This window comes from Homo sapiens, chromosome 9, assembly GCF_000001405.40.
Source record: "Homo sapiens chromosome 9, GRCh38.p14 Primary Assembly".
Taxonomy (NCBI): Eukaryota; Metazoa; Chordata; class Mammalia; order Primates; family Hominidae; genus Homo; species Homo sapiens.
Window position 1 is genome coordinate 103,469,027 of NC_000009.12, and position 14,856 is coordinate 103,483,882.

The following is a 14,856-nucleotide window of genomic DNA, read 5'->3' on the forward strand; positions in this document are numbered from 1 at the left end:
TTCCTTGTGGAGTTGATTTCCAGTATTATTCCACTGTGGTCTGAGAGAGTGCTTGATATAATTTCAATTTTCTTAAATTTGTTAAGGCTCATTTTATGGCCTATCATATGGTCCATCTTGGAGAAAGCTCCATGGGCTGTTGAATAGAACGTGTATTCTGTGGTTGTTGGATGAAGTGTTCTGTATATATCTGTTAAGTCCTTTTGTTCCAAGGTTTAGTTTAAATCAATTGTTTCTTCGTTAACTTTCTGTCTTGATGACCTGCCTTGTGCTGTCAGTGGAGTATTGAAGTCCCCCACTATTATTGTGTTGCTATCTATCTCATTTCTTAGGTCTATTAGTAATTGTTTTATATATTTGGGAGCTCCAGTGTTAGGTGCATATATGTTTAGGACTGTAATATTTTCCGGTAGGACAAGGCCTTTTACCATAATCACTGTTGCTTCAAAGTTTGTTTTGTCTGATATAAGAATAGCTATCCCTGCTCGCTTTTGGTGTACATTTGCATGAAATGCCTTTTTCCATCCCTTTAAGTTTATGTGAGTCCTTATGTGTTAGGTGAGTCTGCTGAAGGCAGTGGATAGTGAGTTCTTATCCAGTCTGCAATTCTGTATCTTTTAAGTGGACCATTTAGGCCATTTACTTTCAATGTTAGTATTGAAATGTGAAGTACTGTTGCATTCATCATACTGTTTGTTGCCTGCATGCTTTGTTTTTTGTGTTTTCTTTTTAACTTGTACTTTTTTAATGGGTGCTGTGTGCTTTATGCTTTAAAGACATTCTATTTTGATGTGTTTCCAAGATTTTTTTCAAGATTTAGAGCTCCTTTTAGCAGTTTTTATAGTGGTGACTTGGTTATGGCAAATTCTTTCAGCACTTGTTTATCTGAAAACAACTCTATCTTTTTTCTTATGTGATGCTTAGTTTCACTGGATACAAAATTCTTGGCTGAAGGTTGTTTTGTTTGAGGAGGTTGAAGATAGGGCCTCAATCCCTTCTAGCTTGTAGGGTTTCTGCTGAGAAGTCGGCTGTTAATTTGTTAGGTTTTCCTTTATAGGTTATCTGGCACTTCGTTTTCACAGCTCTTAAGATTCTTTCCTTCATCTTAACTTTGGATAACCTGATTACAATATGCCTAGGCAAAGATCTTTGTGCGATGAATTTCCCAGGTGTTCTTTGTGCTTCTTGTATGTGCATGTCTAGGTCTCTCACAAGGTTGGGGAAGTTTTCCTTGATTATTCCCCCAAATATGTTTTCCAAGCTTTTGGAATTGTCTTCTTCCTCAGGAACACCAATTCTTCTTAGGTTTGGTCATGTAATGTCTTGGAGGCTTTGTTCATATTTTCTTATGTTTTTTTTTTTTTTTGTCTTTGTTGGATTGGGTTAGTTCAAAGACCTTGTCTTCGAGATCTGAATTTCTTTCTTCTACTTGTTCAATTCTATTGCTGAGACTTTCCAGAGCATTTCACATTTCTAAAAGTGTGCCAAAGTTTCCTGAATTTTTTATTTTTATTTTTTTTTCTTAAGCTATCTATTTTGTTGGATATTTCTCCCTTCACTTCTTGTATCAGTTTTTGGACTTCCTTGCATTGGGCTTCACCCTTCTCTGGTCCCTCCCTGATAAGCTTAATAACTAACCTCCTGAATAATTTTTCAGATTAGCCAGGGATTTCTTCTTGGTTTGGATCCACTGTGGGTGATTTTTGAGGGGTGTTGATGAGCCTTGTTTTGTCATATTACTAGGGTTGGTTTTCTGATTCCTTCCCATTTAGGCAGTCTCTTTCAGAGGGAAGGTCTAGGGCTGAAGGCTGTTGTTCGAATTTTTTTGTCCCACGAGGTATTCCCTTTATGTACTACTCACCCCCTTTTCCTGTGTTTGTGGCTTCCTGTGAGCCGAACTGCAGTGATTGTTGTCTCTCTTCTGGGTCTAGCCATTCAGCGAGGCTACCCAGCTCCTGGCTGGTGCTGGGAGTTTCTGTACAGAGTCCTGTGATGTGAACTGTCTATGGGTCTCTCAGCCACGGATACTAGCGCCTGTGCAGGTGGAGGTGGCAGAGGGTTCAATGGGCTCCATGAGGATTCTTAGCTTTGTTGGTTTAATGTTCTATTTTTGTGCTGGTTGACCCCCTGCCAGGAGTTGGCGCTTTCCAGAAAGCATCAGCTGTAGTAATGTGAAGAGGGACTGGTGGTGGGCGGGGCCCTAGAACTCCCAAGATTATATATCCTCTGTCTTCTGCTACCAGGGTAGATAGGGAAGGACCATCAGGTGGCAGTGGGGCTAGGCGTGTCTGAGCTTAGACTCTCCTTGGGCTGGTCTTGCTGTGGCTGCCATGGGGATGGGGGTGAGATTCCTCTGTCACCAGAGTTGTGTACCTAGGAGGATTATGGCTGTCTCTGCTGAGTCATGCAGGTTGTCACGGAAGTGGGGAAAAGCCAGCAGCCACAGGCCTCACCCAACTCCCACGCAAACCAAAGGGCTAGTCTCACTCCCACTGTGCCATCCACAACAGCACCGAGTCTGTTTCCAGGTGGAGGGTGGGCTTGAAAATTTGCCCAAGGCTTTCCGCCTCCCACCTGGGAAAGAAAAGGGCTTTAGTTCTTTCCCCACCTGTGAATTCTGCAAGCTGGATTCACACCCTACCCCACGTTCTGGCCAGGAGGCTTCTAGCCTCGCTCAAATTGTTACAAAGTTGTTACAAAGTTCAGCTAGGGAAGTCCTTCTCCTCCTGGGGGTTTTACCTTATGCTCCTCTGGCCTCCCTCCTGATGGATTCCTGTGGTTCCAGGCAGGAATGGGCTGCCTGGGGATTCAGCGAGCTTCCAGGGCCTGCCTGCTGCCTCCTCCACCCCTTGTATTTTGCTCAGCTCGGCTCTCCATCTTGACTCAGCTCCAGGTAAAGTCGGGAACGTCTCCTGCAAACGGACACTTTCAGCTTCTCCACTGGGGATGTGTGTTCCTGTTCGAGAAAGAAGGGTCTCCCTTTCCCACTTCCACAGTTGGGGCACTCACGGTATTTGAGGTGTCTCCTGGGTCCTGCAGGAGCAGTCCGCTTCCTTCAGAGGGCCTGTGGGTCCTCTCAGAATTGGTAGTTTGTTCTTGCAGTCAATCTGGAGCTAAAATTCACAATGCAAGCCTCTCTATGCTGCTCTATCTGGAGCTGCAATCTAGTCCTGCCTCCCGTCCACCATGATCTGCAGAAGTCCCCCACTACAATATTTTAAAAAGAAGTATATTTGGTACACAAAGACAGAAGGTAAAATAGAACCATATGAAAATGCTCAGTTAAAATCAGAGAAGGCTGTAAAAGAGGAGATAAGAAACCAAGAACAAATGCAACAAATGGAAAACAGTTACACGCGTGGTAGATATTAATCTATGTTTTAATCACTTTAAATGTAAATAATCTAAACACAGCAATTAAAAGCAAGGTAATCTCATAATGGAGAAACAAGACCCAACTTCTGTTGTCCTCAAAAAGGAAAACAAAATAAAACTCTAAAGAATCAGCTATGTTAAAAGAAAAAATATTGAGAAAGATGTGCCATGCTAACTCTAATCAAAAGAAACCTAGACTAGCTAAATTAATTTTAGACAAGACAGGCTTCAGAGCAAAGGATATTATCAGGGATTAAAAAAAAGGTCAATTTGATAATGATAACAACTATACAAGAAGATGATATATAAATTATATTATTAAAAGATAAATATATAAAATTATATAATTTATATATGTTATATATAACTAGATTTATATTTTATATAATTATATAAACAGCCCAGCTTACCTCAAATTTAAATTGTATCAAATTTAGCTTAAACAATGCAAACATGTTATCTTATAGTTCTTAGGTCCAAAGTCTGACACAGGTCACACTAGGATGAATTCAAGAGCTTAACAGGGCTGTGTTTCTTTCTAGCTCTAGGTGAGATAGTTTTTCCACACATTTTTATATCCTAGAAACATCCTGTATTTCATGGGTCATGTCTCTCTTTCTCCGTCTTCAAAGCTAATAAAGGCAAGGAGAGTCCATCTCATATGTCAACACTCTGATCTCACTCACTCAATTAAAAATAAAATCCTAAGCACCCCAACTGACTGAAGGGACCCCCTCTTGGCCAAAGGGACCCAAGAAAAACCTTAAAAACTAAATGTCCAGCCATGACTGGAGGGAGGTAGGACTTGTCTTGTTACACCCACTCCTTTTTGGAGTTTAGGCACAACTGACCAGCATTTAAGCATTCCTTTGTACTTACTTCAAGCCTTTAGACAAAGCTTAACACTTTGAACAAACTGCAAATTAAAGAACCTGTGACTCCACCTACAACCTGTAAACTCTTGCTTCAAGGTATCCCACCTTGTGGGGCTGAATCAATGTATATCTTCCATGTACTAATTTATAGTTTTTCCTACAATTCCTGTCTCCCTAAAATCTATAAAACCAAACTGCACTTTGACTACCTCAGGATCACTTATTGAAGGCTTCTCGGGTTTATCCTTTTTTCTAGGCTGTGGTCACTCATATTGGCTCAGAATAAACCTCTTTATTTTCAAAGTTTGGGTTTTTCATTAACACTTTTGTAATCACGTTTCCTATCTAACCATGAACGCTTCTGCCCCTGCCTTTAACTCTTAGGTGCACTTGTGATTACATTAGGTCCATCTGGGTAATCTAGGAATCGTCTCCTCATTTTTAGGCCAGCTGTTAGCAACCTTAATTCTACCTGCAAGCTTAATGTTCCTTTTCCAAGAAAGGTAACATATTCACAAGTTCAAAAAATTAGGACATGAGCATCTTTGGGGGTCTGCTGACTACAGTTTATCCTCAGTCCCCCAAAGATCAATGTCTTTTTTACATGCAAAATATATTTACCTCAACCCGTGGTTCCTGAAATTCTCCACCTATTACTGCATCAACTTGGTGTAAAACAAGGTCATCAAGACAACAGTTCCAAAACTCATTATCTATATCGTCTAAGTTAGGTGTGAGTGAGGCTTTGGGGACTTGTGAAATGAAACAACTCACCTGCTCAGAAAATACAATGGTGGAACAAACATAGAATAACATACATTTCTGGTCAAAAAGGGAGAAAATGGAACAATAAATGAAGTCACCTGTTTAAAGCAACTTCAAAATTTTCCCTGACACACTGTATTTGGTTTTAAGGCCTGGGACTGAAACTTTGGGGATCATATATCCATTTTCATAAGAGGTAGCATGTTTTTGCATGTAAGTAGTGTTACTAGCTGCTTTCCAGCCTGTGGAATTTTAGGGACCCAAGGGGTTTTTTAAAATTTCATTCTCCTTCTGTTGCTTTCAGTTCAAACTGGCAGCATCTTTGTTTGTATAACATTCTCAAGCACGCTGTGAGTCACTGGGGTATATCAAGAAGATTCACTTTATTAGACAAATCCCTAGTCCTGGCTTCTGCTTGGATGACAATCTCTAAGTCACATGGTTAATCTCTTCAAAGAGACATTGATGTGACTGAATACTCTGTTTTTCATACTTCTGAAACATTAGCAAAATGTTGTCTCTCAAATTCGCTCCAAAACTTGTTTTTCTGACTGTAATTATCTGGAATCTGAATGGCTAATTTCCCTAATAATTAAGTTCTGGTTCTTACTTGCTTAACAGTTCTTCCCTCGAACTACCTTTCTTCTCACATTTTAAAATAAACAGTATACATCTCCCAACGTTTACCGGGAATTCTCTTTGCATAAATATCAAAACTTACAAGCTTTGCTCTTCAAATATAATTTTTCTTGAGAGCAGGCTTTTGTTAATGGGAATACAATGTTCTGCATTTCCCAATGACTACTTCTAACCTCCCCATGCTAGAGGCATGAAGAGATTGTTTTTTCCTAATCTTCTCTCTGAGAACCTGGTGGATTTCAAGGTAAACCTTATAAAAGTGTGCCTCTTGCCCCATTCCCCAAGACTCAGTCTTAGTGATTTTGAGATCATCCACACTGAGCCTCCTTCAATTTGTCAATCATAACTCAACGTTTCTATTAGTACAGGCTCTACTGCTGGGCTTCTGCTCTTAGTAAACTGTGATTCTCTATACTGCTTGTCCCTACAACTTTGGGGACAGCAGCTTGCTTTGTGACCTCAATTCTCTGATGGATCTAAGAAGGGTTGTTGATTTTCAGATTCAGCTTATTTTTTTTTTTATTATGAGCGCAGAAGCAACAAATTCCAAGCTTTTACATGGAAACTGGAAGTGCCCTGAATTCATTTTTTTTTTCTTTTTTAGTAGAGATGGGGTTTCACCGTGTTAGCCAGGATGGTCTCGATCTGCTGGCCTCGTAATCAGCCCATGTTGGCCTCCCAAAGTGCTGGGATTACAGGTGTGAGCCACCGTGCCCGGCCCTGAATTCAGTTTTTTTCATAGCATTTCTGTTTTACCTCACAATAGTGCATAGGCTTACCTGTGCAATATCACTTGATCAGATTACTTACAATTTTCAACAGTATCAACCCAGAATATACAGAAATAAATACCTTTTCCTAAAAGAATTAGATTACCATATGAAACGAATTTTTCAGTCCCTTTTCCATTATTTTTAATTTTTGTTTTATTTATTTATTTATTTATTTGGAGTTGGAGTCTCACTCTGTCACCCAGGCTAGAGTGCAGTGGCATGATCTAGGCTCACTGCAACCTCCACTTCCCGGGTTCAAGTGGATTCTCCTGCCTCAGTCTCCCAAGTACCTGGGACTACAGGCACGTGCCACCACGCCCAGCTAATTTTTGTATTTTTAGTAGAGACAGGGTTTTGCCATGTTGGCCAGGCTGGTCTCAAACTCCTGATGTCAGGGGATCTGCCTGCCTTGGCCTCCCAAAGTGCTGGGATTATAGGTGTAAGCCACCACACCTGGCCTCTGTTATTTTTAATAACTTTCTATTTTGCAGTAATCGTAGAGATCACAAATAGTCGCCATCACTACACATGATGAAGTTGCATTATGGACAGTGTCTTACTGTTTTAATTTATAGTGGTGCACAAAGTGCTTTTCTCAACATTGGAATAAAAAGCCAATAATATGGAGTTTCTGCCTTCGTGTGAACCTAATTCTGGTAAAGGAGATAAATTTTTGCAGCTGCAAAAGTATTAAAATGTGGTAGGTGAGGAATAATAATGGCAAAGTTTCTGTATTGGAAAATTAGCACCATGGCGCATAAGTTGGAATTTATTACCAGGTATGTGGGAGAAAAAAGAAAACAAAAAGCACAGATAATTTGTAAAAATAAAGATATTTTCCTGAGGATAGAAGAATCCAGTAGAGATATTCCTACGTTGAGTCTAATTCAAATCAAGATGGATAAAGTAGGTTAAGTAGAAATGACAGATCCCCTCAGAAAAATCAACAAATTAGCTTTGTACTGATGATATAAGAAGAGCCTGGGTCAAATAAGTCATCCCGAAATAGGCAGTAATTCAATAGTTCCAGAAAAAGATCCATCCTGTGAGACTTGAAAGATGACAGTTTGAAGGGTTGAGAGGCTTTAAACTAAGCAATTTGGGCTGCGATCATAATAGATTCAAATGTAAAAACAAAGAGGGAGAGTGTAGTGAAAAGGAGAATATTGTCAGAAATCTGTAAACAGTCTACTTTCCATAATAACAATGTAAGGTGCCATGAATTAATATGAATAGTGTCTGGAAGGATGGGACTCACACCAGTGGTCTACAGTAGACAGATGGTCCCTGACATAATGATAAATTTTCAACTTTATGATGGTACAAAAGCAATATTTATTCAGTAAAAACTTTACTTATAATTTTGATTTTTGATCTTTTCTTGGGCTAGTGATATGGAGCATGATACTCTGTTGTGATGTTGGGCAGCAGTCGTGAGCCACAGCTCCCAGTCAGTCATGGGATCCCAAGATGAGTCTACAGGTGGTTTTGCCCAAATGGAGACAAATGTAAGTATTCTGAGCACATTTAAAGTAGGTTAGGCCAAGCTATGGGGTTTGATAGGTTAGGTGTATTAAATGCATTTTTGGCTTAGAATAATTTAAATTTGTGATGTTTATCTAGATTGCTAGTCAATGTGTATCTGTATTCTGAAACACAGAGAAGACATGTTTTGTTGTTGTTATTTTGTATTTAATTTTGTTCTACATGCCGGGGTACACGCACAGGATGTCCAGGTTTGTTACATAGGTAGATGTGTGCCATGGTGGTTTGCTGCACCTATCAACCCATCACCTAGATATTAAGCCCACCATCCATTAGCTATTTATCCTGATGCTCTCTCTCCCCCTGCTCCACCTTCCCAACAGGCCCCATTGTGTGTTGTCCCCCTCCCTGTGTCCATGTGTTCTCATTGTTCAGCTCCAATTATAAGTGGGAGCATGCGGTGTTTGGTTTTCTGTTCCTGTGTTAGCTTGCTAAGGATAATGGCTTCCAGCTCCATCCATGTCCCTGCAAAGGACATGATCTCATTCCTTTTTATGGCTGCATAGTATTCCATGGTGTATCCATATCACATATTCTTCATCCAATCTATCATTGATGGCCATTTAGGTTGATTTGCAGAAGACATGTTTTTCATTAATTTTACAGCAAGAAGATAGAGGAAAAGAAAGGCTAGCCATTTGGAGCAGGTGGTATAATATTAATGAAAGACTAAGAATAATTGGGACGATTTGAAAGCAAGGCAACCTCAATATGAGCATCCTGCAATCTCATAAAACAGTTACATAGCTAGTTATAATTTTTTTAAGTTGACAATAGAGTAGTTGATGATACTCATTACATTTCAAAGTAAACTTCAGTCACAGTGAATGCCTAATAGTTTCAAATGTATGTGTGCTTGTGTGGCATAATGCTGGTTTGCCTGTATATACTTTGGTTCTTGATTTCTGGTTGTTCCTGTTGTTGTTATTGTTGCTGTTGTTCTTTTATATTCACCACGGAAGCTAAACTCAGTGGTGTGTAAGTTAGGGTTTTTCTGTGGACCAATTTGTTGTTAGTTCTTGCTTTAGTGTCTGAATAATCATAAATTATCAGGGAGTACATGAATATAAATGTAGAATGCGCTACTTCAGGTAATATTTTTACCTTTTAAAAACTGTCAAACATTGCTTTTTATTTTTATTTGTGTAATAATGCTTAAAATATACTTAAATTTGTGGTCGTTTTTTCAACGGTATTTTTGAAAATAAACTACAAAGACTAGGCATTAAAGCAGTTTAGTCTATTTTTCTTTAATGAAATACACATACATTTTAAATATCAAAATCAAACATTAAGAAAGAAATCTTAGAATTAACATAGACATGATATTATTGATATATTAATATCTAAATAAGAGCCAATTACTTAGATATAAAATTGCTCTAAACAAATGTAACTGTATCGGATTTTGTGTCCAAGCTATATTTATTACAGATGATGGAATCCAAACTCAAAGCAGTCATTAAAATCGACTTTTCAAAGTAGAAAAAACTAATTAAATTGTCTATTCTGTTTACTTTTCCATCCCTCCCCCTCTCCTTTTCCTCTTCTCTTCCTTCTCTACCTCTCTCTTATTTTCTCCCTCCCTTCCTCCTTCCTTCTTTTTTTCCTAACTTCCTCCTTCAGAGGCATCTGCTGCTAAATGGTCATTCTGCTTTTTTATATTCTATGCCCAACCAGTACCCATACGTTTATCTGACTTTGAGAGGAAAATTTCTGAAAAATACAAGGGAGGAACAGAAGAACATACAAAAGAAAGGAAAGTTTAATGTATGTAGCTCATCCCTTACAAATTAGTGAAAAATTTCTTAAAACGAGAGTCCCAGATCCACAGTGCATTTTTTGTTTCTCCAATGATCTAAACCCTTATGTTTGCATTTTTCTTTTTATTTTGAGGTATAATTTTGACATATTGAAACGTCCACATTTTATGGGTATACATGAATTAGTTTTACTTATATATACATCAGTAATTCTATACACATTGAAGATTAGATGTATAAAACATTATGTATATATGTAGTTTTACTTCATTGTGATTTTAAACTGTATTTCCTAGACACATAATGAAGTTTAGCATTTTTGTGTCTGCTTGTTGCTCTTTTGAATGCGCTCTTCTGTAAACCATCTATTCAAGTGTTTTACCCAATTATTAAATTGTATGCCAATTCTACTTTTCTAATTGATTGGTAGTTTTGTATTGGTTTCTAGTTGTCTTTGTATAATTTATTCTGAATAAGACTTTGAATATTTACTCCCACTCTGTGACTTCCCTTTCCATGTTTCCAATTTCAACATTGCATAAAAAATAAATTTACTTTTGTTTCTGTTTTATTATTTAAGATTGTTTACATACACTTCTCATGCTTTACTGAGTTAATGTATTATTCATTATTGTGGGAATTAATAATATAAATTTCAACAATGTTTAATATATTCAACAATTATATAAACAGTTCAACATACACAGTTATGCATCACTTCTTATATGTACCTATTTTTAGCTCAACACTATTGTGATTTAGCTCAACACTATTGTGTAGGAATCAACTACAGGGAAATTACTCATAAAAGTAGGTCCTTTGCTTTAACTTCAAGAACTGTGCTCCTTAAATTGATGGAGATACAGGTCTATTTTTTCAATCACTGTATTTCTTAAAAGTAAACTGGAAATATTTCTGAAATGAAGATTCTATGAGTTTTAAAATCTAGTGTTATTGATTTAAGCAAGAGGTATGAAATGTTTGGAAAGTGCTAGCAAGGAAAATAAGGGTATTTCATAGCTAAAAAAAAAAAAACTACTGATTTATTACTTTAATTATACTTTTACAATTAGAAAAAAAAACTGAAAATTTTTGTTTAAATAATTATTCTATTACTAGATTTATTAGTAGATAAACTCCATAAAATGGTCATGTTAATAACATTACATAAAAGTAAGAATCAATACAAAATTCCCAATGATGTTTGCTTTGTTTCTATTACATTCTCTTGCATTTTCTTTCTTGAGAAGGCAGAATACACTAGAATAACTGAAACTAAATTATTCATGCTTTCCCTACCTCAGGTAATTTTTCAATAAAATAACTGGAATATATAAACAATGCACATAATTTATCTATGAATGGTGATGGGAAGGCAGAATTATTAATAATTTTTAACACCATTTTTTCTGGAGGTTCCAGAAAACTTTCTAGCAGATATAATTATTCAGCTAATATTTATTCAATTCCTAGTAATTTCAAGGTCTTATGAGAGCAATAAAAATAAAAAGATATTACCTATCTTTTAAAAGATGGGTAGCTAAAAGAATAAGATTGTATAAATTATAATATAAAGGGTAGAGTAAGGGAGATACAAACACCCATGCAAAGAGAAAAAGGTACAAACACTACTGCAAGAAGAAATGCATTTAGATTACAATGGGGACATTAAAGGGAGAAGCTATCCCAATTTGTTTAGAAAATAGATTCAGCAAAGGAAAGGTTTAACTCATTCATGAAGTGTAGGTTGGCATTAGGTGGTTGGGTGTAGAGAATAAGATGTTCTAGCTAAGGCAGAGAACATAAGAAAACTCATAAGGGTATGAACAGGGGTGGAATTCTTAGGAACTTCCAGTTAATTTGGTATATCAGTGTGCATAAATTTGGGAACAAACAAGGAATGAGTTGGAGGGGTTGTCTGTGGCTGCTCTAGATTTTAGATTGAAGGAAATAGAGGGTATTATGCATGAATATACATGTTTAGTTTGGAATGTTGATAAGATCACTATGGGCAGTGGTCAATCATGGCAGCAGGGATAATAAATAGAATGGTAAATCACTATAGATGCTAAGACTTAGAGCTCATCTTCCCAATTCACATCCTAGGCTTTACAAAAGGCAAAATGATGGACTCTGTTTTCTGGAGCTCTCCTGCTGACACTATCATTAAAATTTAACTATTTATGTACCCCTGCATACAGAGACAGGTCTATAGGAGTAATTTTAGAAAAAGCCAAAATTCCCATCTAATTACTGCTCTCCAGAAACATCCTCATATCCATCAGCTTATGTTGTTTTTTCTGGGGACCACTATATACAGGTATCTGAAAAAATGCCACATGCAGGAGTGATTGATATTAACAAAATATATAACAAAATAATATCAAAATAATGAAAATAATCAGAACAAACATAGAGAAAGGGTGATCATAATAGAGTGACCATAAACAGTGAACACAGTCTGAGAAATAAATGCAAAACAGGTAGAAGAGATGACTGAGAGAAGCTTATACTGATAGATCAGTAAAATCCGGACTTGTGCCTCTTTATTCTTTTTTATTCAAAAGACAACATACTCAGCTTTACCTGGAATACTTGGACTACCGCATACATTTGTTTCGCCTGTTACTCAGTCTAATTTTCAGAAACAGCTAAGAAGAGAATACTCAATACAAATCCATTTGGAAAAGAAGCAGATTAAAAATGCAACATAATTAGAAGAGACGATTTTGAATGTTAATAACACAAAGGCATTATAAATCTTGGAGGTGATGCATAACTGCCCTTAATTGACCATTAAACATTTTATCATGGATCAAAATATCATTCTGTATCCCATAAATATATACAGTTACTATGTGTCAAATAAAAATCAAAGAAAAAATACAATGTAAGAATCAAGCATGCAAACTAGTATACATACAAATAACATCAATTGTTGTGGAATGGAGGGTGATGACGTAGAAAATCTAAGAGTAAGAATAAGAGATATCACTGAGATATATGAACCTAGAGACCTAGGCTTACTCATCTTTACATCTCAATACCTAACATAATTCTAGACACATAGAAAGTGCTCAAAAAAGATCCACTGAATGAATGAATCGGGAATGTTTTATAGCATACTGGATGCACTTCTAACATGTTAGTATAATGATGTTATTTTTATTTTTGGGTGGGAGATAGGGAGAGTAGGTGCTTCATGTTAAAAAAAAAAATCACATTTGTCCAGCCCTGAGTGATATAGTTTTAGTGTTTAGTTTTATTTTGTTTTGCCATATTTCACATAAGTTTAAAATGATAATTATCAAATGGCTTTAGATTCCTCAAGAGTAAGAATATTACTATTTTCTTAAATAAAAACATGATATGCTGTCTGTATTTCATTTGCCCCTCAAGATTAAGTCTCTTTCTTTCCATCCAACTCTTCCCAGGAAACTGACCTATAGTGATTACATCAGCTTGTTCTCCTTCCCTGTGGCTTCCTATTGGATATAGCCAAAGGAGAACAGTGCTCAGAAATGCCAACAAGGGGGAGAAGGTTAAGGTACATATACCTCTGGCATCTTCCCTGCAGATTATTCAGGGCTGGCTGCATTCCTGTCGGGAAGCTACCTTCGCACCCCCCTCTGCTCCCTCCCTTGTCTTTTCAAGCCTAAGGTTAATAGCATAACCTCACTGCTACTAGTCCCAAATTGCTGCAATATCTTTGTGATTTTCCTATACCCTGCACAGATGCTTTATTATACTCTCTTCAAATTATTCAATTGCATTTTGACATTCATTTCCCTTTAAGATCCTGACAGATGCACATGATAATAAATATTAATAGAACACATCTAATTTGACATGACTTTGATAAAATATTCAATGTTTATAATGGATATGCATATGACCACACACAAATAGAGCCATAAAGGTTATGTGTATATTTCAGTTTTAAGATTTTGTCTCATTTATATAAATTTTTCATTCAATTGCTGACAATCTCTCAAAAGACACAGATACATATAATCTTAGCATGGATTATGTAAAAAATCAATAATGGTTGCTGCTAAAAATAGAAAATGCACTTAGAAATATCTGTGAAATCAGTGCCACTCAATTTTATGAGTATATATTCATAAATGAGTTTAATGGAGGCAACAGGTTGTGTAAATTATACCACTTCTAATAAGGGTACGACTCACAAAACTGGAGCTCAGTATTGTCAGGTGATCTATGTGATATGGATTGGTTCTGTGTTTTCAACCAAATCTCATCTTGAATTGTAATTCCCACGTGTCAAGGAAAAGACCTAGTTGGAGGTGATTGGATCATGGGGGTGGTTTCCCTCATGCTGTTCTCATGTTAGTGAGTTCTCACAAAATATGATGGTTTAAAAGTTACAGCACTTCCCCAACCTCTCTCTCTCTCTCCTGCCCCCTTGTGAAGAAGGTGCTTGCTTCTCCTTTGCCTTCTGTCATGATTGTAAGTTTCCTGAAGCCTCCCCAGCCATGCAGGACTGTGAATCAATTAAACCTCTCTTCTTTATAAATTACCCAGTCTCAGGTAGCTCTTTACGGTAGTATGAGAACAGACTAATACAGAAAATTAGTACCTGGAGCTTGGGGCAGTGCTATAAAGATACGTGAAAATGTGGAAGAGACTTTGGAATTGGGTAACTAACAGAGATTGGAAACGTTTGGAGGGCTCAGAAGAAGACAGGAAGATGTGGGAAAGTTTGGAACTTCCTAGAGTTTTGTTGAATGGTTTTGATCAAAATGCTGATAGTGATATTGAGAGGTGACAGCATGCTGGCAGCCCTCGCTTGCTCTTGGCGCCCTCTCGGCCTCGGTGCCCACTCTGGCCGTAATTGAGGAGCCCTTCAGCCCGCCGCTGCACTATGGCAGCCCCTCTCTGGGCTGGCCACGGCTGGAGCCGCCTCTCTCTGCTTGCGGGGAGGTGTGGAGGGAGAGGCGCGGACAGGAACCGAGGCTGCGCGTGGCACACACAGGCCAACGCGAGTTCTGGGTGGGCACAGGCTCGTCGGCCCCACACTGGGAGCGGCTGGCCAGTGCCACCAGCCCCGGGAAGTGAGGGGCTTAGCACCCTGGCCAGCAGCTGCAGAGGGTGCGCCAG

At 37.7% G+C, this 14,856-nt stretch overlaps 1 annotated feature.

Annotated features, from left to right (window-relative positions):
* Positions 1,901-3,100: an enhancer, noted in NCBI's record as "MED14-independent group 3 enhancer chr9:106233209-106234408 (GRCh37/hg19 assembly coordinates)". NCBI's record gives its function as "activates an origin of replication core promoter dependent on BRD2, BRD4, P300/CBP and CDK7 cofactors, and independent of MED14, by STARR-seq in HCT116 cells {active_cell/tissue: HCT116}" and the evidence as "EXISTENCE:reporter gene assay evidence [ECO:0000049][PMID:35650434]".